The sequence below is a fragment of the Homo sapiens genome, chromosome Y (assembly GCF_000001405.40).
Source record: "Homo sapiens chromosome Y, GRCh38.p14 Primary Assembly".
NCBI classification, from domain to species: domain Eukaryota; kingdom Metazoa; phylum Chordata; class Mammalia; order Primates; family Hominidae; genus Homo; species Homo sapiens.
Window position 1 is genome coordinate 24,568,451 of NC_000024.10, and position 25,115 is coordinate 24,593,565.

General features: G+C 41.5%; 1 long non-coding RNA gene across 1 annotated transcript in view; it reads left to right on the plus strand.

Annotated features, from left to right (window-relative positions):
* The first annotated feature begins 1,751 nt into the window (after positions 1-1,751).
* The window catches only part of TTTY4B (testis expressed transcript, Y-linked 4B), a 36,824-nt gene continuing 13,460 nt past the window's right edge, over positions 1,752-25,115 (plus strand). The window contains exon 1 of the long non-coding RNA NR_002178.1: positions 1,752-1,912. This is a non-coding gene — a long non-coding RNA (testis expressed transcript, Y-linked 4B). The remainder of the gene's footprint in view (positions 1,913-25,115) is intronic.

The window sequence follows — 25,115 nt, forward strand, 5'->3', positions numbered from 1 at the left end:
ACAACAAAAAGACACACATGTGTTCTAGATATGCCCTGGTGGAGTGGAGTGGGTGTGGAGCCTGTCTTTGTAAAGAAGGAAGAAGGGCCAGTACCCAGGATTATGTGTGAAGGATGAATTGGCACACAAATAAAGGGGCAGCCAGGCCCTTGGCCTAGCAACACTGAAGCTTACAGGTGGCTTCGGAAAGCAGGATAAATAGCCCGTGGACTTAATGCTAGATGGCTCTGTAACAATGAAACATCTGCCCAGGGATCTTAGCAATCCTGCTAGAAGGCCCTGACTATACCCTGGATTGGAGATACCTGAGGTAGAGTGGCTGCCAGAGAGCCTGAGCAAACACCAGTTTTGACCACTATGGCTGGGTCAATCTAAAATAGCTTATCTCTTCTGATTTACAATACAAAATATAGAAAAATAAAGTGAAAAAAGTAAAATCAAGAGAAAAAAATTAAAAAATAAGTTTAAAGTAATTAAAAATAGTAAAGACAAATAAACTGAAACAAAATAGAGAAAAATAAAGAGAAATGTAATTAAGATCAGGGAAAGTAAATAAAATGAAGATGAAGAAAATAAATACAATAAAATTAAGAGAAATAAACAGAAATGAAACAATTTGCAATAGAATAAAATAAAACTTTATGAATCAGGAGAAAAAATAAAAGTAAAAATAAAGATAAATATGGAGAAATAAAATAAAATAATATAAAGGGATAAGAATGGGAGTAAATAAGATAAAAAAGAAATTAAATAAAATGTTTCAAACAAGACACAAATTGGAGAACATTTGAAATGAAGAGACAATAATATAAAAAATAAAAGATAGAAACAAATTTAAATGCATAGAAAAAATGAAAGTAAATACAAAATAAAAAAGAAAAAGAAAAATATATAGAAAAATAAAAGTTAAAGAGCAAAATAAGACCTGGGGATAATCTACAAAATGTTTCACCCAACAATTGCATAGTACATATTTCTATATACATTTGGCATGTTTTCTTAGATAGGCAAACTTTTAAGCTAGAATGCAAGTTTTAGCATATTTAAACTGACGGTAATCACAAAAAATATTATTTCTGACTACAATAAAATATAACTGGAAGTAAAAACCAAAAGAAAACTAGTATATCTGCATATACATGAAACCTAGACAAATTCTTGAGCATACTATTTTTCAAGAGTTAGAATAGGCAAGTTTCTTTAGATGTTAATTGTTTGGATTCACTCAGGCCGCTGGCAGAAATATTACAGGGAAGTATTAGGAAAAGTTATAAGGAATAGTAACAAACCTTTTTGGCAGGCTAAAAGGCTAAAATTATTATATAGCTTGTAATAATTGAACAGGCTGAAGGCAACCTCTTCTTACCTTAAAGCATTAGGTCATAGGGTAAATACTAGGGACAACTGAGGCTTCTCCAGTTAAGTCTGTTTACTCTACCTCCACTAACTAACATGGCTCTCTCCAGGGAGTTCGACCAGAGAAATTGCCCCCAATGGTATTTACTTTAGACTGTGGTAACTGAGGTTTAATCATTCACAGAACTATTCTCTTAACAATGTTAATTATCCACAAGTGTGTTTACTCAAAGCTTCTGTGATTAATTCTATACTAAATAAATGCCTGGAGGGTGAGTTGCTCAGGGTGGGCTTCCATTCTTTACAGGACTCTCCGTGGAGTCTGGGAGTGGCCTCGGACCCTCTGCTGCTGGCAAAGCAGGATATCTGTGTGTCAGGTAGTTTATTCACCCATCGCCAGGTCTGCAGTTGGAGCCCATTGTGTGAGGCAGTCTGTGAAGGAAGTGTGAGAACCACCCTCATGAGGAAAGCTGTAGAGGAAGAGTGAGGAATGCGACAGACTCCCTGAAAGCAAAGGTGGAAAAAGAATTCACGTGGTGAAGTCAGTGACTAATCAGTAAGTCATTGGTGCCCACTCGAGGTTACCAAGTTCTGGGAGAAGTTGGGTCAAGCTGAGGTATTCTCATGGGACAACATTTATCAGCTCAACAGAAACAGTATATAAAAGTGTTGAAACAGTTGCTTAAGGCTAGTGGAGCATCAGTTTTGCAGGCTCAATTAGGGGACATAATGCAAACTGTTGTAATCCTGAGAGGTAAAACTGGCTGGGCTTTGGGTGGGGTGGGGACTTGGAGAACTTTTCTATCTAGCTAAATGAATGTAAATGCACCACTCAGTGCTCTGTGTAGAGCTAATCAGGTAAGGGACTTGGAGAGCTTTTCTGTCTAGCTAAAGGATTGTAAATGCACCAATTGGTGCTCTGTGTCTAGCTAAATGTTTATAAATGCACCAATCTGCACTTGCTAAAAACAGACCGATCAGCACTCTGTAAAATGGAACAATCGGCAGGATGAGGGTGGGGACAAATAAGGGAATAAAAGCAGGCCACCTCAGCCAGCAGTGGCAACCCACTCAGGTCCCCTTCCACACTGTGGAAGACCTGTTCTTTTGCTCTTTGCAATAAATCTTGCTGCTACTCAGTCTTTGGGTCCACACTACCTTTATGAGCTGTAACACTCACCATGAAGGCCTGCAGCTTCACTCCTGAAACCAGCAAGACCACAAACCCACCGGGAGGAACAAACAACACTGGATGCACCACCTTTAAGAGCTGTAACACTCACTGTGAAGCTCTGCAGCTTCACTCCCGAAGTCAGCGAGACCATGAACCCACTGAGAGGAACAAACAACTCCAGAAACACCAACTTTAAGAGCTGTAACACTCACTGTGAGGGTCTGCAACTTCACTCCTGAAGTCAGCGAGACCATGAACACCTGAAGGAACAAACTCTGGACACACTGTCTTTAAGAACTGTAACAGTCACCGTGAGAGTCCATGGCTTCATTCTTGATGTCAGTGAGACCAAGAACCCATGGGAAGGAATCAATTCCAGACACACTTTGGTGACCACAAAGGGACTATTGCCTATTGCCAAGCAGTGAGTACCATCGACCCCTTGTGCTTGCTATTCTGTCCTATTTTTCCTTAGAATTCTAGGGCTAAATAGCAGGCACCTGTCAGCCAGTTAAAAGCAACTAGCTTGGTCACTGAACTAAAGACATGGGTGCCAGGCTTTCTGGGAAAGGGCTCTCTAGCAACCCCAACTCTTCGGAGTTGGGAGTGTTGGTTTGCATGGAACTAGCTTCCACTTTCCCTGTACTTCTGGGCTGAGATGAGGGTTGATAGGAAAACCATTCAGCTCCATGGTCCCAACAACAAATTGGTTGACCCTGCAGCCATGGCGGAACTCTTAGTCATGTCGCCCAAGCGAGACTCTCCCATCTATCCTATCTATCCTGAGCCTTGCCTCCTGGGTCCTAAAGCCTGTCAGACAATCTTCCTCTTGCTTCTGTTCTCTGAGGCTAGTCCTGCTTCTAAAAACCACTCCCTGTCTCTGGTGCTTTTCTAGTTTCTCCTGTAAGAACTATTTCTGGTATAAACTCCAGGACTCTATTCCCTTCTCCTGGCACTCAGGCTCAGCAATCAGAAAGAGAGAATTTTTGCCCAAAGCCCCATTTTAAGGGGGACTATCTGGAATTTTAGGATCCCTCCTCAGACAAACAGGCTTAACAAAACCTATTCCTGAAGCTAGGATATGGGACGCCTCAGAAATTGTATCTTTCTTATTCATATAAGTGAGGACAAAAGGCATCACTCTTCTGACTCTGGTGATCTCTTCCCTCCCTCAGGGTATGGCCCTCCACTTCATTTTTGGGGCATAACATCTTTATAGGACAAGGATAAATTCCCAATATTAACAGGATAATGCTTAGGACTCTAACAGGTTTTTGAGAATATGTCAGTAAGGGCCACTAAATCCGATTTTTCTCAGTCCTCTTTGTGGTCTGGGTGGACAGGCAAGGCTGCAGGTTTTGTTGTGGTCCAGGAGGAAAACCAGTGTTTCTGCTGCTGCATCAGTGAGCACAACTATTCTGATCAGCAGGGTCCAGGATCCATTGTGGGTTCTTGGGCAGGTGGAGAAACAAACAAACAAAAAGAGTGGGCCGTTTTCTCTTTCGGATGGGAAACACTCAGGCATTAACAGACCCACTCTTGCAATGCATCCTAAGCCATTGGGACCAATTTTACCCACAAACCCTGAAAAAGTGGTGGCTTATTTTTTTCTGCACTATGGCCAGGACCCAATATTCTCTCTCTGATGTGGAAAAATGGCCACCTGAGAGAAATATAACTTACAATACTATACTGTAGCTTGACCTTTTCTGTAAGAGGTAAGGCAAAAGGAGTGCAATACCTTAAGTCCAAGTTTTCTTTTCATTGAAGGAGAATACAAAACTATGCAAAGCTTGCAATTTACATCCCACAGGAGGAACACTCAGCTTACCTGCATATCCTAGCCTCCCTATAGCTCCCCTTCCTATTAATGATAAGCCTCCTCTAATCTCCCCTGCCCAGAAGGAAACAAGCAAAGAAATCTCCAAAGGAACACAACCCTTCCCCGGGCTATCGATTACATCCCCTTCAAGCTCTAGGGAGAGGGGAATTTGGCCCAACCTTGGTACATGTCCCCTTCTCCCTCTCTGATTTAAAGCAGATCAAGGTAGACCTGGGAAAGCTTTCAGATGATCCTGATAGGTACATAGATGTCCCACAGGATCTAGGGCAAAGCCTCGATCTCACTTGGAGAGATGTCATGCTATTGGTAGATCAAACCCTGACCTTTAATGAAAAGAATGTGGCTTTAGTTTTAGCCTGAGAGTTTGGAGATACCTTGTATCTTAGTCAAGTAAATGATAGAATGACAGCTGAAGAAAGGGAAAAATTCCCTACGGGTTGGCAAGCCATTCTCAGTGTGGATCCCTATTGGGACCTTGACTCAGATCATGGGGACAAGAGTCATAAACATCTGTTCACCTGTGTTCTAGAAGGACTAAGGAAAATTAGGAAAAAGCACATGAATTATTCAGTGATATCCACCATAACTCAGGGAAAGGAAGAAAATCCTTCTGCCTTCCTTGCGTGGCTAAGGGAGGCCTTAAGAAAATATACTGCCCTGTCACCCAAATCACTCAAGGGTCAATTGATTCTAAAAGATAAGTTTATTACCCAATCAGCCACAGACATCAGGAGAAACTCCAAAAGCAAGCCCTGGGCCCTGAACAAAATCTGGAGGCATTACTAAACCTGGCAACCTTGGTGTTCTATAATAGGGACCAAGAGGAACAGGCCCAAAAGGAAAAGTGAGATCAGAGAAATGCTGCTGCCTTAGTCATGGCCCTCAGACAAACAAACCTTGGTGTTTCAGAGAGGACAGAAAAGGGAGCAGGGCAATCACCCGGTAGGGCTTGTTATCAGTGTGGTTTACGAGGACACTTAAAAAAAAAGATCATCCAGGCCGGGCGCGGTGGCTCACGCCTGTAATCCCAGCACTTTGGGAGGCCGAGGCGGGCGGATCACGAGGTCAGGAGATCGAGACCATCGCGGCTAAAACGGTGAAACCCCGTCTCTACTAAAAATACAAAAAATTAGCCGGGCGTAGTGGCGGGCGCCTGTAGTCCCAGCTACTTGGGAGGCTGAGGCAGGAGAATGGCGTGAACCCGGGAGGCAGAGCTTGCAGTGAGCCGAGATCCCGCCACTGCACTCCAGCCTGGGCGACAGAGCGAGACTCCGTCTCAAAAAAAAAAAAAAAAAAAAAGATCATCCAATAAGAAACAAGCTGCCCCCTTGTCCACGTCCACTATGTCAAGGCAATCACTGGAAGGTGCACTGCCCCAGAGTACAATGGTTCTCTGGGCCAGAAGACCCCAACCAGAGGATCCAACAACAGGACTGAGGGTGCCTGGAGCAAGTGCTAGCTCATGTCGTCACCCTCACTGAGCCATGGGTATGCTTATCCATTAATGGCCAGGAAATTGGCTTCTTCCTGGACACTGATGCGGTCTTCTCGGTGTTAATCTCCTGTCCTGGACGACTGTCCTCAAGATCCGTTACCATCTGAAGAATGCTGGGACAGCCTGTAACCAGGTATTTCTCCCAACTCCTCAGTTGTAATTGGGAGACTTTGCTCTTTTCACATGCCTTTCTTAATATGCCTGAAAGTCCCACACCCTTATTAGGGAGGGATATATTAGTCAAAGCTGGAGCTATTATCTACATGAATATGGGGAGCAAGTTACCCATTTGTTGTCTGTGGCTTGAGGAGGGAATTAACCCTGAAGTTTGGGCATTGGAAGGACAATTTGGAAGGGCAAAATGCCTGCCCAGTCCAAATCAGGCTAAAAGATCCCACCACTTTTCCTTATCAAAGGCAATTTCCCTTAAGGCCTGAAGCTCATAGAGGATTACAGGATACTGTTAAACATTTAAAATCTTGAGCCTCAGTAAGGAAATGCAGCAGTCCCTGCAGCACTCCAATTCTAGGAGACCAAAACCCAGTCAGTGGAGACTAGTGCAAGATCTTAGACTCATCAGTGAGGCAGTAATTCCTCTATATCCAGTTGTACCCAACCCCTATACCCTGCTCTCTCAAATACCAGAGGAAGCAGAATGGTTCACAGCTCCGGACCTCAAGGATGCCTTCTTCTGTATTCCTCTGCCTCTGACTCCCACTTTCTCTTTGCCTTTGAGGATTCCACAGATCACACGTCCCAACTTACATGGAACGTCTTGCCTCAAGTGTTTAGGGATAGCCCTCATCTGTTTGGTCAGGCACTGGCCCAAGATCTAGGCCACTTGTCATGTCCAGGGACTCTGGTCCTTCAGCTTGTGGATGATTTACTTTTGGCTACTGGTTTGGAAGCCTCATGCCAGCAGGCTAGTCTAAATCTCTTGAACTTTCTAGCTAATCAAGGGTACAAGGTGTCTAGGTCAAAGGCCAAACTTTGCCTACAGCAGGTCAAATATTTAGGCCTAATCTTAGCCAGAGGGGCCAGGGCCCTCAGCAAGGAATGAAAACAGCCAATACTGGCTTATCCTCACCCCAAGACATTAAAACAGTTGCGGGGGTTCCTTAGAACCACCCACTTTTGCCGACTATGGATCCCCAGATACAGCAAGATGGCCAGACCACTCTGTACGGTAATCAAGGAGACCCAAAGGGTAAATACTCATCTAGTAGAATGGGAACTAGGGGCAAAAGTACCCTTTAAAACCTTAAAGCAGGCGCTAGTACAGGCTCCCGGTTTAAGCCTTCCCACAGGACAAAACTTCTCTTTATATGTCACCAAGAGAGCAGGGATAGCTCTTGGAGTTCTTACTTAGATTTGTGGAACAATCCCCCAACCAGTGGCATACCTAAGTAAGGAAATGGATGTAGTAGCAAAAGGCTGGCCTCACTGTTTATGGGTAGCTGTAGCAGTGGCTGTCTTAGTGTCAGAGGCTATCAAAATAATACAAGGAAAGGATCTCACTGTCTGGACTACTCATGATGTAAATGGCATACTAGGTGCCAAAGGAAGTTTATGGCTATCAGACAACCACTTTCTTAGATACCAGGTGCTACTCCTTGAGGCACTGGTGCTTCAAATATGTACATGCATGGCCCTCAACCCTGCCGCTTTTCTCCCAGAGGATGGGGATCCAATCAAGCATGACTGCCAACAAATTATCGTCCAGACTTATGCCGCACAAGATAATCTCTTAGAAGTCCCCTTAGGTAATCCTGACCTTAGCCTATATACTGATGGAAGTTCATTTGTGAAGAATGGGATACAAAGGGCAGGTTATGCCATAGTTAGTGATGTAACTATACTTAAAAGTAAATGTTTTCCCCTAGAGACCAGAGCCCAGTAAGCAGAAATACTGGCACTTACCCAAGCCTTAGAACTGGGAAAGGGAAAAAGAATAAATGTGTATACAGATAACAAGTATGCTCATCTGATCCTACATGCCCATGCTGCAATATGGAAAGAAAGGGAGTTCCTAACCTCTGGGGAAACCCCCATTAAATGCCACAAGGAAATCATGGAGTTATTGCACACAGTGCAAAAACCCACGGAGGTGGCATGGCACTCTTACACTGCCAAAGCCATCAAAAGGGGAAGGAGAGGGGAGAACAGTAGCATAAGCAGCTGGCAGAGGCAGGGAAAGACCAGCAGAAAGGAAAAAGAGGAAGAGACAGAAAGTCAGAGGGAGAGAGAGAGAGGAAGAGACAGACAGACAAAGAGGGAGTCAGAAAGACAGAAAGAGAGAGATGAAGGAGAAGTCAAAGAGAATGAAAGAGATATGGAAATAGTAAAGAAAAAACAGTATACCCTATTCCTTTAAAAGCCAGGGTAAATTTCTAAATATCTACCCAGCCAAGGCATATTCTTCTCCTGTGGAATGTCAAACTATATCTGCCTCCCCACTAACTGGACAGGCACCTGCACCTTAGTCTTTCTAAGTCCCAACATTAACATTGCCCCAGGAAATCAGGCCCTATCAGTGCCCCTCAAAGCTCAAGTCCATCATTGCAGGGCCATACAACTAATACCCCTACTTATAGGGTTAGAAATGGCCACTGCTACAAGAACCAGAATAGCAGGTTTATCTACTTCATTTTCTTACCATCACACACTCTCAAAGGATTTCTCAGATAGTTTGTGAGAAATAACAAAATCTATCCTTACTCTACAATCCCAGCTAGATTCTTTACCAGCAGTGACACTCCAAAACTGCAGAGGACTAGACCACCTCACTGCTGAGAAAGGAGGACTCTGCACCTTCTTAGGGGAAGAGAGTTGTTTTTACACTAACCAGTGAGGCATAGTACGAGATGCTGCCTGGTGTTTACAGGAAAAGGCTTCTGAAATCAGACATCTTTCAAACCCTTATACCAACCTCTGGAGTTGGGCAACATGGCTCCTCCCCTTTCTAGCTCCCATGGCAGCCATCTTGCCATTACTTGCCTTCGGGCCCTGTATTGTTAACCTTCTTGTCAAATTTCTTTCTTCTAGAATTGAGGCTATCAACCTAGAGATGGTCTTACAAATGGAACCCCAAATGAGCTCAACTAACAGCTTCAACTGAGGACCCCTGGACCAACCTCCTGGCCCTTTCCGTGGCCTAAAGAGTTCCCCTCTGGAGGACACTACAACTGCAGCATAATTCTTTGCCCCTATCTAGCAGGAAGTAGCTAGAGAGGTCATTGGCCAATTCCCAACAGCAGTTGAGATGTCCTGTTTAGAGAAGGGATTGAGAGGTGAAGCTGGCTGGGCTTCTCAGTCAGATGGGGACTTGGAGAACTACTTTGTTTAGATAAAGGATTGTAAATGCACCAATCAGCACTCTGTGTCTAGCTAAAGGTTTGTAAATGCACCAATTAGTGCTCTGTGTCTAGCTAATTGGGTAGGAGACTTGGCGAACTTTTCTGTCTAGCTAAAGGATTGTAAATGCACCAATCACGCTCTGTGTCTAGCTAAAGGTTTGTAAACACACCAATCAGCACTGGATAAAAATGGATCAATCAGCACTCCGTAAAACAGACCAATCAGCACTCTGTGAAATGGACCACTCAGAAGGATGTGGGTGACACCAGATAAGAGAATAAAAGCAGGCCACCCGAGCCAGCAGCAGCAACCTGCTTTGGTTCCCTTCCATGCTGTGGAAGCTCTGCTCTTTCACTCTTTGCAATAAATCTTGCTGCTTCTCGCTCTTTGGGTTCGCACTACCTTTAGGAGCTATAACACTCACTGTGAAGGTCTGCATCTTCTTCTTGAAGACAGCAAGACCAATAACCCACTGGAAGGAATCAATTCTGGACACAATCCCAAGATCATGGTTCCCAGAAAAAGGAACACTGGATGTAGTACTCTGAGAACAAGTGGGGATAAATCTTCAACATCAGACACAAAGGCAACAGGTCCCAGCTGTTATGGGCTTTCATTACAGCAGCCCTGTCTCCATTATACACAGAACAGACTATAAAGGGGAACGAGGAGGAAATGTCACCTGCCTTATCACCTCCTCTTCCGTCAGCCCTAATATTACTGAGCCAAAATAACAAAGAAGAAACAGATATTTTACCTGAGCCTTTTTCTTCAATACGTAAGAAAAAGGACCAGGAATACCCTCCAGTTATTAGTCCCTGTCTTCAGCTGGCAGCAATAAAAGGAGAGTTATTAGCCTGCCCGGTAATGCAAAATCAGCCAAGTAATCAGGTACATAAAGGGTTAAGAATAATCACTAAAAGCCAGAGCCACAGGGCCAGGACAAGGAAGCAGTAAGTAGAAAGAAAAACTCCACCCACACTGTGACAGAAGCAACAAAGAGCCAAGCTGCAGCCAGAGCTAGCCTGCTGCGAGTGGAACAGAAGCACACGTGACAAATTCCACCCAGGCCACATGTGTCCCACAGCTGGGGAAGGGAGCCAGCACAGGCAAAAAATGGCACAGGCAAAAATGGCGACTTTATAAATGTAAAGCAGTCACAGCGCCGGGACCTGCCTGCTCCTTTCTCTAACTCCACAGGCTATCCAAGACAAAATCTCATGTGCTGCTTGTTTACAAGCAACATCACAGATTATAGTTCTCAGCTAAAATTTAAGTAAAATGTAAGAATTAGAAAACCTCTTTCTAATAACCTCCACTGTTGTCATCTCTCTTCCACCCTGATGAAGCTCACCAAATTCAAGTAAAACAGTAACGTTTAAAGGTTGAGAAATTACAAACAACCCATGAGTTAGTTTAGAAGTAGTTAAAAGCAAACTTTGTTTTTTAACTAGTAGAAAAAAAATTCCTGATTACATGATTATTCATTTTATGGATGATATTTTACTAGCAGCCCCAACGGAGCCAATACCTTTAAATTTGTTTACCTCTGTCATAAGGAATACACAACTGAAAAGTTTAGTCACTGCACCTGAAAAAGTACCCATGTTCCCTCCTTGAAAATATCTTGGATATCTGTTAATCTCCTGGTCAGTAAGACCTCAAAAGTTTAACCTAAGTACTAACAACTTACACACATTAAATGATTAGCAGAAATTATTGGACAATGTTACCTGGATTTCTCCCATTGTTGGAATTCCTACCAATAAACTACAAAACCTGTTCTCTATCTTAAAGGGCAACCCAGCCCTCAATTCTCCCAGATATTTAACCCTTGCAGCAAAAAGGGAAATCAAGGAAATTGAGCAAGCCGTCTTTCAAAGGAAGCTAGATCGCATTGATCCACCGTATTCCAATCAGCTATTTATTTTTTCCACCTAACACTCCCCTACAGGGTTACTAGGACAAATGACTCCCAGGCTATGTTTCCTAGAATGGGTTTTTTGCCCCCATACCGGGACTAAAACACTGTCTCCTTATACTCAGTTAATTACTAAAGTCATCTATTCAGGTCACAAACGTTAAAAATCAGTTGCGACATAACCGATATCATCATGATTCCTTTAAGTAAAGAGCAATTCAAAGCTTCATTATCTTTGTCAATACACCCACAAATAGTTTTATCTCATTACACAGAGCAAATAAAGCACATCCTCCCTGCTGATAAAGTCTTTCATTTCTTATCTCATACTCCGGTAATAATGCCTACAAAAAGAGTTTACTCCCCTGTAACTAATGCTTTAACACGGTTTACTGATGGGTCCGCAAACATGGAAAAGCAGCAGTCTGGTAGAGACCATATAATTCAATCATGCAATCTGAGTTTACTAGCAAACAGAAAGCTAAGGTTACTCTGTTTATTTATTAAAGAAGTTTTACAGCCTTAACTCTATTCTGGAGCCAGGACGGTTTACTCTTTCTCCAACTTCAGCAATTGGCTAGATCAACATACAAGTCCCATTTTTATTACACATATTTGAGCCCACAGCTTACTTCCTAGCCCATTGGCTTATGAGCAGTGATCAAGCAAACCTACAGGTTAAGCCATCACTGCTAGACCAAGCCACCCAATCGCATGAATTTTTCCATCCAAATTGAAGAAACTTATCAACTTACTCAGAGACTGGCTAAATAAATTATCCTACAATGCCCAGATTGCCAGCTCACAGGTAAGTCCCCTCCTTCAACAGGTGTTAACCCTAGGGAAACAGAACTTAACCTGCTATAGCAAACAGATGTTACACCCATACTTGAATTTGGAAAACTTAGATATGTACAAGTATCTATTGATACCAACACTCATTTAATTGCTGTCCAAGATCAGAGAGAAACAGAAAGGTTAAAGAGAGAAATAGAGGGGAAAAAAAAGAAAGACTAGAAAAACCAGAGGTCAAAGTCACAAAAAGTAAGACAAAGAAAAGACATAAAGAGAAAGAAATGTTAAGAAAGTTATAACCATTAGACTGCACCTTTATTAAGGAAGGTTATGAAAGAAATAAAGTTAAGGCATGTTGAAAATTGTCTGTGGAAGTCATAAAAACATTATAAAAAGAAAACTATTCAGGACATGTTGTATAATTTTGTTTTGAAAGTCTAAGCAAGTTTTAAAATGTTAATTGTTAACAAAATTCTCTGAGTAAACATATTGACTAAAGTTAAAGATGTGTCATCCAACAATCATAGACTGGATTAAGAAAATGTGGCACATACACACCATGGAATACTATGCAGCCATAAAAAATGATGAGTTCATGTCCTTTGTAGGGACATGGATGAAATTGGAAATCATCATTCTCAGTAAACTATCGCAAGAACAAAAAACCAAACACCGCATATTCTCACTCATAGGTGGGAATTGAACAATGAGAGTACATGGACACAGGAAGGGGAACATCACACTCTGGGGCCTGTTGTGGGGTGGGGGGAGGCGGGAGGGATAGCATTGGGAGATATGCCTAATGCTAGATGATGAGTTAGTGGGTGCAGCACACCAGCATGGCACATGTATACATATGTAACTAACCGGCACATTGTGCACATGTACCCTAAAACTTAAAGTACAATAATAAAAATAAATTAATTTAAAAAAGATGTGTCATCCAGTTTTTCTGTAAACAAGACATTAAAAGCACAAGTTTTTCTTAAAGCACTAACCTGCTCTTTAACAAAGATTATGAGAGATATCTTAGCACAGACACAATCTCTACAATTTCCAATACACAAGCACCAGCCAAGACACTGCATCCTCATCAAAGGATTAAAAGAAGAAAAAACTCGAGCCAGCCTAGGAGAGACCCTGCAAGATGATGCAGCTTTATCAGAGAAAGATGACTCAGAAGGCTATGCAAATCCTGCTTCTTTTTTATTCTCTCACTTTGTCTACTACCTGTATCTGCCAAGCTCTATTAAGCCCATCTTGTAACCTCCTTTGTTCTACCCTAGTACTTAGACTAACACCCCCTTTCCAGCTTCTAACAACATCACTGCTTAAATAAAAGGAAATCAACATTCCCCCAGTGAGGTTCCTCATTAATAGCACAGAGTGAACTCAGATGGCAAGTAACTCTGCAAGTCACTCTGACTGGAAGAAGTGTTGTTAATTATACTCATGATTGTTTTGTGTTATTTGCTATTTATATGATGCAAAGCTGGAATAAGATCAGTGACCACCTCGCCTGACAAACCTATGACTGCACATATCTGTGCTCTGCAATCAAAAACCTGATGCAGAAAAGAACAGAGAGGAGGATTTTGAGATTCACTCAGGAGGATGGCAGAAATATTAAAAGAAAATAATTAGGGAAAGTTATAGGGAATAGTCACAGACTTTTGGAAGGCTGAAAGGTTGCATAGCTTGTAATAATTCAAGGGGCTGAAGGTAGTCGGTTTTAACCTTAAAGCATTTGGTCATAGGGTAAATGCTAAGGACAATAGAGGCTTCCCCAATTAAGTTTTTTTACCCCACCTCCATTAACTAACCTTTAAGCCAGATGGTCCTTTCTGGGGAATGTCAACCAGGGAAATTGCCCCCACTGGCATTTACTTTAGACCGTGGTGCCTGAGGTTTCGTTATTCACAGAACTATTCTCTTAACCAGGTTAATTATCCACAAGTGTGTCTACTCAAAGCTTCTGTTAATAATTCTATACTAAATAAATGCCTGGAGTGCAAGTTGCTCAGGGCACAGCTGCCACTCTTTACAGGACTCCCTTTGGAGACTGTTAGTGGCCCCAGACCCTCAGCTGGACTTGAAAAGCAGAATATCTGTGTGACAGGGTACTTTATTCATCTGTCGCTCGGTCAGGGGTCTGCAAGGGACAGACTCCCTGCAGCTAATGCCCTCATGAAAAGAGTGGTGCCTCAGTTAATGGTATTAGAAATGATCTACAGGTCAATGAGAACTCTTTCAAAGAGCCAATAGTTTTTTTTGTTGTTGTTGTTTTTGTTTTTGTTTTGCAGAAGTAGTAAAATATTCTAAAATGTTTGAGTCAATATTTAGCTGTGTCACCCAGGCTGGAGTGCAATGCTATAATCATGGCTCACCATAGCCTTGACACATCAAGCTCAATTGATCCTCCCACCTCAGCTCCAGAAGTAGCTGAGACTGCAGGTGCATGCCACCATGCTCAGCAAGTTCTTGTATTTTTTGTAGATACAGGGTTTCACCATATTGCCCAGGCTGGTGTCAAACTACTGGGGTCCTGCAATCCACCTTCCTTGGCTTCCCAATGTATTGGGATCACAGGAGTAAGCCCTCAAATATTGCACTATAATTTATGTAAACACTCAAAAACAAACAAAACAAAAAAAGTAGCAAAACAACTTTGGAAAAAAAGAATATACTTAGATAAATATTTTTTATTTCAAAACATATTGCCAAGTTACAGTAATCAAAATAGTGTGGTGCTGGCATAAAGACAGTTAAATCAATGTTAAGGCAAATAACAGAGGCCAGAATGAAACCCACATGCATAAAATTCAGCTTATCTTAAACAAACGTTCTAATTCCTCATGTTGCAGAACGTTCTCCTTCAGCAAAATTGGGTTCTTGTCACATGACTAGGAAAGATTAGGCTCAGGGACACTCCTGAAGGATAAAGAGTAGAGCTGATTGGGTAAAAGAAAAGAAAAAAAGAAAAACTCTCAACGAAGTGAGTGGGAGTCGTGTTTACCAGGCCCCCACTTCACGGATTGCTGAACACCAGACCATCACACAGGAACTGATGAAGCCAGGCTCCTCCTCCTTGCACAAGGGGTAAAGTTTCCATGGCCTTCCAAGCCTCCACTCCCTTCCCCCAGTTTTCAGATGGAAATTATTCAAAGAGAATCTGTTGGAAAAAGGCAGGCTTCATCTAGCACAAGCACTCGATTTTTCAGCCTTCAGGCTGTTTTAGGCTTGAAGATGGGGTTTTGTCCAAGACACTTGGCTGTTTTCTAACTCTGTTATTTTCCACTGTCAATAAGTATATCTAACTGCTGTTAGAATAAGGATAAAGATGAGGACAAAAACCACTTTTAAGTGCTTCCTGATGACAGGGGGCACTGTTGTGAAATAAATGGCAGTCAGTTATTCCTTAGAGGCCTAAGTGTCTCCAGTGAAAGGGGCCATTGTCTCAGCCTATGGTAGTGTGACTGTTTGAAGTTTGATAGCCTGAAGGTGAGGAGAATCAAACTGTGTTACTAAAAAGCACGTATTAAAATGAACCAAGGGAAATGTGGAAGAGACAGCTCAAAAAAAATCCAGGGTTTTCACCAGTTTGCATAGGTAGAGGGAGGCCAAAAGCCCAACAGGAAAAAATAAAAGAAAGAAAGAAAAAGAAAAGAAAGAAAGAAAGAAAGAAAGAAAGAAAGAAAGAAAGAAAGAAAGAAAGAAAGAAAGAAAGAAAGAAAGAACTTTTACCCTTTTGACAGCATATGAGACTTCTGGGTTCTTTTCTCCTGGGTCCAATCCTAAGCTGTCCAGTTTAATGTTTGGGAAATTAACTCTTCCAAACTTGGAGGATGCATTGAAGAGGAATGTCCCAAAACATGGAGATGTGATTACCTATCTCTAAACAGCAAACGGAGGAGAAAAAATGAAAAGTTAGCATTTTTTCAAAGGAGTTCCAAGGGTTCAGGATGCATTCAAAATGGGTCTAGACTAAAAATGAATGGTTACTTATCTTGAAAGAGATAGAGGAGCAGGAGTCCCTGGCTCCTTTCTCTTCCTAGCAATTTCCCAGGGTGTGTTGAGCTATAGGAGAAAGAATATTCTTTTTCCCACTTCAATCCTTGTATCCCCAAGTCCCACTGATTGTAACAGGGTGCCTCCCATGGGTGTCGAGGCAGCTTTCACCAATGTTAACAGGGAGGCCTAAGGGGGTGGATATATCTGCTCTTACACATGTGTACCCTTTCTTCCCTGCTGTCAGTAGCTCTGGAGTTCACTGGACCTCATTTATGGCATGGATAGTAGCATAATCTTTATCCATGAAATCGGGGGCTTGGCTTAATCCCTGGGAATTAGTTATGCTCACCAGCATTGTGCTTTTTTACCTCCATTATCACCTGCCTCTGGATTTCTCAAATTTTTTACTTTTTTCTATGGTGTCAAACAGAAGCTTAGAATTGAGGCTGGGGCAAAAATGTGTCTCAGGGCATTGCATGGACTCTTTATCATGAGCTGAATGCTAAGATGAAGCTGTGGAATTGAGTTCTTCTTCTACAAGGGTGAGAAAAGAATGACTGTGACATACTGAGGAAACTAGTGGCTATAGTTGTGCTTCATAAAATTTAGGTGGGCACCCTATATATTCCCATCACTCTGCAGAATTTGCAGGATAATTGTCCAGAATTATAATGTTAATCCAGATTTTCATGTGTACCAATTCATTTTTGTTTATTGTGGGCTGCAGTTGAAGATCATTAGTGGGGTCACAGAAATAAGCAAGATTGTTCTAAAAAGTAGGCAACAATGCAAAACTTGTGAGTTTAGAATTTAATGACAAATATATAATAAGTTGTGAAACATAAACTTTATCCAGTCCTCTTCTATTAAAAAATAAATCATGATAGGACTGAGTTGTTTGTAAAATAAACTTTATTCTGATACTGGGCCTGATTATTTGCATAAAATGCAGCAAGAATAATTATTTCTAGATAGGTCTTTTACATTGGCTTTGATGGAACTCTGTTCCACAAGAAATTTCAGATGGGACTTTCTAAAGTCAAGCCCAGCCACGGGTTTGTACAATCAGATAATTTTTAGTTGGGTGATTCTCTGCTCTTATGGTCCCAAGATAAACTTGGAGCTCCTGGGCCTGTCAGAAAGTGTCATTATTTAGTTACCACAGATCAGGAACCCTGCTAAAGGACTGTTTAGATGAGGTATAAAGCCAATTTTTCCACTGGGATTTTCTTGGTTCTGCAAGTTGATCTTGACTCCTTAAAGGGAAGCTTATTTTTTAGTCAAGGCCTTGTTCAAACAACCAGTTTCTCCAGTTGTGTTCTGTTGGAAGAGAAATTGGACTGTTATTGCACTGATACAAACACCTATATTGCCACAAGTTAAGAACACTCACAACTATTTTTCGAATTCAGGAGAAGTCCTGCCGAGAAAGGCAAACGTGATCCAAATTGTGCACACATGAGTACACCTTGCTCACATATTAAAGGCTGTAAGTATCTCAAGATGTTTCCTTGACTCTGGTAAATAATACAAGAATGAGTAATGTCTCAAACAAAAGTCAGAAGGGCTACTTCAATTTTCTATTAGTCCGGTCCATTCAGTCAACTCTTCTTTTGTTTGATATTCATACATATTTTAGCTCTTTGAGAGTCCTGTAAGTTTTTCCTGTATTTCAATGTCACAAGCTCCAAAGTTATCGGAAGCCTGCAATTGAGAGCACCTATTAAAGATCTATAGCTGATTAAAAAGCACTTCATAAAAAAATCAAAAAAGGAATAATTATCTGTGTATTACAAAGTGTGCAAGGTAGTTACAGTCAGAAATATGACAAAAATTTTCGTTATCTATATGGTTTGCAATAAATTAACCTAACAACCTTAATTGTGGATGATAGCATATACTTCAGACATTAGAATTTTAGAAATCCCATATAATTTTAGAACATGTATTAGTATTAGTCACCAAAATATCACCTAAAAATATTGAACACCATTTGGCAATTCCGTGTAACTAATCATGCCATATAATCCTGTTTATCTCTCTTGTTGATACTCTATGGGCCCTCTGTAGCATCCAAAAGCTAGAAATAAAGAAAGATAATTTTGTAACTACAGTGTGGTTTTGAGAAGGATGTTACAACTTAGAGGTTTAAAAATCCTGAAATAAAATTCCAGATTTTCCTAAATTACTTATTTAACAAAAATGATGACTTAGAAATGGAAAAGATATAATTTTTATAAATTATTTTATAATTCTTTACAAATGTTGGTAAGGAACAGATTAGTGCCTTAAGAGTACCTTGTTGGGCTTTTATTTCAATGTTCAATTTACAAGCATCTCACAGACATGGTAATGACTGTCATATGTGGGCCTCACACATAGAAGTATTTTCAACTTCCATAAATTGCTTTTGAAACATGAATGATTAAATCTCTTTCTGGTAATAAAAAAGTTCAAAGAAGACTATAGCAGCCTCAAGTATTTTATAATGTCCTCAGCTTGTACAGAAATTGTTATGATGGAATGCAGCAGAAAGGCATAATTCTGAGTCTCATATGCACACTGATCTGACAGTAAGGAATGTCACCATCTTAAATATATGAAGCCAACTGTCACTCATAAAAACAACTAATGTGTGGTATTGTAAATCTTACCCTGGGAGTTTTCCGCCAGTGTGCTTGTGATTTAATATTTTGTGAATCACCCATATGATTTGACTCTCTGGAAGGGTTTCAGCCCACATATGTTATTGTGGTATCTACCTGGGCCAACCTTGAGGTGATGTGACTCTCCCATCTGGGACCTACTCCCAGTAAAAATCACGAAAAATCACTACCTCCAGCACACAGGTCATGTTATATTTTTGCCTAAGCTATGCCCACAGAAATTATTGTGACATATCACTGTGTCAGCCCTGTAGGTGATGCAACTCTCCTCATTAGATTGGGCTGTGCACAGAGTATGGTATACTCACATATGGCTGCACTAGGGTCACAGATGATGGAACTCCTTTGCTGGGACCTTATCCTAAAAAGGGTATTGTGACAAATCTCTTGGCCTATCCTCTAGGTGATATAACTTGCTGCTTGAGTCCTGCCACATGGAGCATTGTGACATAAGTGTGAAAACTGTAACTATTTGTTGTAACTCTCTCACCCATGTCCTGTCCTAAGGGAGCATTGTGACATATCTCAGGAACCAGCATAAAGGTGAAGTGACTCTTTTGCCTGACTTCTCCTGATATGTTAGATTGTGTTATAAACCTAGGGAAGCACCTAGGTGATATGACTCTTCTCTTCTGCCTCAGCCCTGCCTACTTGAGACATTGGGTCATATATCTGAGCCTGTGTTCTAAGTGATGTGTCTGTTTTCTTCTGCCTGAGCCCTTACCGTGGGATGCTGTGACATATTGCTAAGCCCAATACTTAGATTAAATGACTGTTCTTTTTCCAAATCATGCCAATAAAATAAATTTTGCTGTATTGCAGGGTACAGCACCCAGATGATGTACCTTTTCTGCCTGAGTCCTGCAGAAAGAGATAATTATGGCACATTGCTGGGCCCATCACCCTGAAGATATAACTCTCCTGCTTGTACCAGAGCAACTGAAAGTATTTTTATATATCTTGGGCCCATCCTGTAGGTGTTTTTGCTGTCCTTATTTGTTTGGGCTTGTTTTTCCACATTTGAGATTGTGTCATATTGCTGGGTCCAGCACTCCAGCACCCAGTTAATGTAACCCTCATTTCTAGACCCTGCCTAGAGAGGGTATTGTGACATATTGCTTGCCACAGCATGTAAGTTGTGCTACTTTTCCACTAAGTTTTTTTTTCTACAAATGAGATTATGATACTTACATTGCTTCAACTCAGTGGCATCATGATCAAACATAATTGGCATTCCACCAATAGTAGACTTTTCCCTCTCATAGCTGTGCTTAGGGCAATAGTTACAGTTATGAGATGCATATTTGCACAAAGCTCACAGAAATTTACAACACTAACTCATAGTCTATAAACTTGGGTGGTACACAGAGTTTTATAATAGAGCTCAGCAAAAGATTAAAATTGTGACCCTTGATTACAAATGCAGGTGAGAGAAAAAGTTTTTAGCATCTCATATTTATAAAGCCCACTGTTGAAGTTCTGACTCTAAGAAGTAAATAAAGTACAACGATGGAATTGTGACTCTCATATGTGGATCTTGCTACAGATGAGATGGTGACTCATTTCTGGACCCAGATTATAGGCACCATAATGGGTTTTCTGTCTGAACCCAGCCTATAAGAGAACTGTTGATTATCATAACAGGGTTTACATCAATATGTATGTTTTGGGTCAAACGAGCATGTAGGCTTCAGAGTGGTTTGTAACACTAAGGTATTTTGCATAAAGCCTTCAGATGTTGTAGAGTGTCTCATAAGATGACTGAGAACACACTTGAGATTGTGACTCTTACATACATAACAAACTAACAGTTAAATGTGTCACCTAAAGGATAAATTGATAGTGTCATATGACAAAGCCCAGCACCCCGGTGTTGAGAGTCTTGGCTTAGATTCTTTCCCATGGGTGTATTGTGAAATATTGCTGGGTTAGAATCATAAAAAGGTGACTCTTCTTCACGGATCCAGCCAACAGGGGATATTGTAACATATCTCTGGGCCTATCAGCTAGGTGATATGTCTCTCCTCTCACAGTGTTCTCTCACAGGGGACACCGACATTTTGCTGGATATAGTATCTAGGTAATGTGCTCTCCTCTCCTGCCTGGATCTCACCTACCTAGGAAATTGTGACATACCACTGAGTGCAAAACCTAGGTGGTGTGACTCTCCTCTTTGTGCTGGAATCTGCTATAAGAGGGAATTATAACATATTGCAGAGCCCAGCACCTAGGGAATGTGACTACCCTCTATTTTTTCAACCCTGTATACAATGGTCAAGATGATATATTATTTGAGACTGTACCCAGGAGATATGAGCCTTCTGACTGGATCCTGCCTAAAAAGAAGATATAATGTATTTCTGGCTAAGGACACAGATGATGTGACTTTTCTATCTTGTCTATGTCCAAAGATGAAATTCTAACATATACCTGGATTCAGCTGATATGCACAATAATAACTCATGCATGACCCATCCAAGGGAGATATTGTGAATCTCAGAGCCAGTTTATGGCCATGAGTAAAGTCTCAGATCTCTGTAAAATTAGATGTCTGTAAAAATTCAGACAAATGTATCCTACTCAGGTGTATCATTTAAGGTCTGTGTGGTACAAAGTGTGTCATAACAGGCACCAGCAACCAGGTGTTACACACATCGAATTGTCACAGTTGTCATTTTCACACATGAACAGAGCCTATGAATGAGTTAAAAAATCTCACACACATAAGCAGTTGAAGCTGGAATTTGTTACCGTCATATATGAATCTGATCCACAGATGCTGTGGTGAAATTTACCCACGATTCTCCAGACCAGTGGTGCTTTGACTGTCCTACTGGAACACAACCTTCAATGTGATTGGGGCTGTTACACATGTATCTTGCCCATTGTTGAGATTATGACTTCTTTACTTCGACCCAACTCATAGGAGGTGTTGACTCTCATACCCGAAGCCAGAAGTTGTGTGGGCCTGTAAAATTTATTTCTGAACATTTTCAAGTGTGTGATTGTGAAGTTTGACTTTGTCCAGCATCTGAGTATTTTGACTCTCCTTTCTAGGCCAAGCCTAGAAATTGTGACATACATGCACCAGCACCTAAGCAATGTATAATAACTTTTTGTCAATGCAACTAGGGGCCCTTTTACATGTTACTGGTACCAGCAACCAGCTGGTGTGAAATGTTGGCCTAAACCCTGCCTACAAAGAGCATTATGGATTTTATCCAGATCCATCATGTAAATAATGTGAGTTCCTTCTACTGCCTTGGCCCTGCAATTATGCTGTATTGTGACACACTGCATTCAGGTGATGTGAGAGTTTTTGAGGGGAGTTCTGCCAATAGAAAGCTATGTAACAAATCACTTGGCTCAGCCCCTAGGTGCTGTTTCTCCTCTCTTGCCTTGACCCTGACCACCAGAGAGACTTTGACATATTGCTTAGCCCAGCACCAAGGTGAGTTCACTCTCCTGTCTTGATCCTGCACACAATGGCCATTGTGACATATATCAAGGCCAATTGCCCATGTGCAGTTTGTCTCCTCTCTTGCCTAAGCCTTGCCAACAGAGAGGATTTAGATATGTCACTGAAGCCAGCATCCAGGTGATTGACTCTTCTCCAAGAGTCCCACCCACAAGGAGAATTGTGAAATTTCACTGGACGTGCACACACTTAAATGATGTGACTTTCCTTACTTTCTTCTCCTTCCCCACAAGTGGTAATGTGCCATATACTTGAGAACAAATAAAAGGTCTAATAATGACTCTTGTACCAGGAACCAGGTCACGTGCAGGATTGTGACTCTCAACACTGAACCTTTTCACAGGTGTTATTCTGACGTTTATTTTTGCCCAGCTCTTGAGTCACTTAATAATCCTGCCTATTTAGAGTCCAGATGTGACATTTTTACATACAATTGGGCCAAAACCTTGGGGATTTGACTTTTGTCTTAACAGTGTTCTCCGAAGGGATCATAACATATCTCTGGACCTATGATCTAGGTTATGCGACTTTCCTCTCCTGACTGCACGCTGATTAAAGCAAAGAGTGTGGCATTTCTAAGCACGCATCCAAATGATATGACCCTTTTTCCTGGGCCATTACAACAGAAGGCATTATGATATATCTCTGCACCCATCATCTAGGTGATATGACTCTCCTCTCCTGCCCGGACACTCTTCACAAGTAACATTACAGCATAGAGCTTGGCATAACACCTAAGTTCTGTTACTTCTCCGTTAGGGCCTTGCATACAAAGAGAATATTGGAATATTTCTGGCTTAGGATTTAGGTGATGTAGTGTCCTGCCTATTTAGTAACCACAGAGGGCATGGTGACATATACCTAGGCACAGCTAACAGGCATGATAATGACTCTCATATGTGGACACAGCCAATAGGAGAAATTTTGACTCTTACAACTAGGTTTAGAGACATGAGTGACATGAAGCATCTCCTACTGTTAACAATGTCACAGAAGATTACAACACTCACACCTTCTTATAACACCTGTAAGTAGTATAGAGAGTGTCATAGCAGGGCCTAGGATAAAGAGGAAATCGTGAGTCTCGTTTGGACACCCAGCTGACTGGAAGGATTTTCACAATCACAGATGTATAAAAGCTACTGTTCTACATGAAAACAAGACACATGTGGCATTATAAGTCTAATCCCTAGAAATTTATTTTATCATGACTGTGATCTAAAACTCTTCCATGCGCTTTTTTGATTTCACTCTTTGGACTGGTTCCAGCCTACACATGGAATTTTGATATCTACCTGGGCCAACATTGAAGTCTTGTGATTCTTCTGCCTGGCCTGCTCTCAGGAAGAATTGTGACATCATTGGATCCAGTACTTAGGTGACGTTACATTCATGCTTGCCCCATGCCCACACACATCCTTGTGACATATTATGTTGTCCATCACTGAGGTGATATAACTTTCCTCTCTGAAACGGGCCCTGCACACAGGGCAGGAGAGTGACATATTCATAAGCCAGGCACACAGGTAATGATACTTTTCTTTGCCAGGGCCATGCACAAAAGATAAGATTATGACATGTTACAGGGCCTATTGTATAGGTGATATGGCTCTCCTGCTTGAAAACTGCCCACTGGAATAGTGACATATTGCTAGACCAGGTGACAAAGGTGATTGTACTCTTTTGCCAAGACCATGGTTTCAGGAAGGTTATGTGACATATATCTGGGCCTATCACCTAGGTGATGTGAATTCCTTCATAGGCTGCCCACATGGAGCATTGTAACATAAGGGTGGAACCTGTTCCTAGGTGATGTAACTCTCTTGCCTAGGTCCTTTTCTAAGGGGGATTTGTGAATATCTCAGGACCCAGGACCAGGTGATGTGATTCTTCAGCCTGGCTTCTTCCCACATACTAAATTGTGACCTATACCTAAAGAAGCACCTAGGTGATACGACTCACTTTTTTTGCCTGAGCCCTGCCTACAAATGACTTTGGGTCATATCATTGAGCCCATGACCTAAGTAATTTGACTCACTTCTTCTGTCTGTAGTTTTACAGTGGGAGAATTGTGATGTATTGAGAAGCCCCGTACTTAGGTTGTGTGACTCTCATGTTCTTGCTAAAGAGTGCCCATGAACAGGGCTTTTGCTGTATATCAGGACCCAACACCCAGATAATATTACTCTTCTGCCTAGCTCATGGATAAAGAGGGAATTGTGGCATATTGCTTGGCCCAGGACCCTAAGAATATGACTCTTCTGTCCATGCCAGGGCCACAGAAGGTATTTTGACATGTCTTTTGCTCATTCTGTAGGTACTTTGGCACTAACCAGTTTGCTGGGTTTCTTCCACGTATTTTTGTGTCACATTGTGGGTTCCAGCCCCCGGTTAATGTGACCCCATTTCTTAGGCTCTGCCTAGGGAGGGCACTATGATATATTGCTTGGCACAACACCTAAATGGTGTTAACCTTCTGCCTAGTTTTTTGCCCACAAATGGGATTATGACATACACTTTGCTTCAGCTCCAAGGCATGATGATCAAGCTTATTGTGGGATTAAGCCAATAGGGGACATTTTACCTTTTACCCCTAGGTTTAGGTCAATAGTTAAGGACCTTCATTTCATATTTGTTCAAAGATCACAGAATTTTACAACATTAACTCATATCCTACATTCACAAAGCTTATTGCTGAAGTCCTGAATTGATCAAGTCAATAGAACCGAAAGTTTGAATTGTGACTCTCATAAGTGAATCTGACTACAGGTGAAATGGTGGATCATTTCTACACCCATCTCACAGGCCTAATAATGGTCTCAACCCTGATGCCAGCCTGTAGGAGACATGTTGCCTGACATACCTCAGTTTAGGGCAATATGTAAGATTATGAGTCCATATAAACATGTAGCCCACAGAAAGTTTTGCAACACTCATGCCTGTTGCGTAAAGTTTTCAGATGTTGTAGAGAGTATCATACAATGGCAAGCACACTTGGGAGATTGTGACTGTCATATAC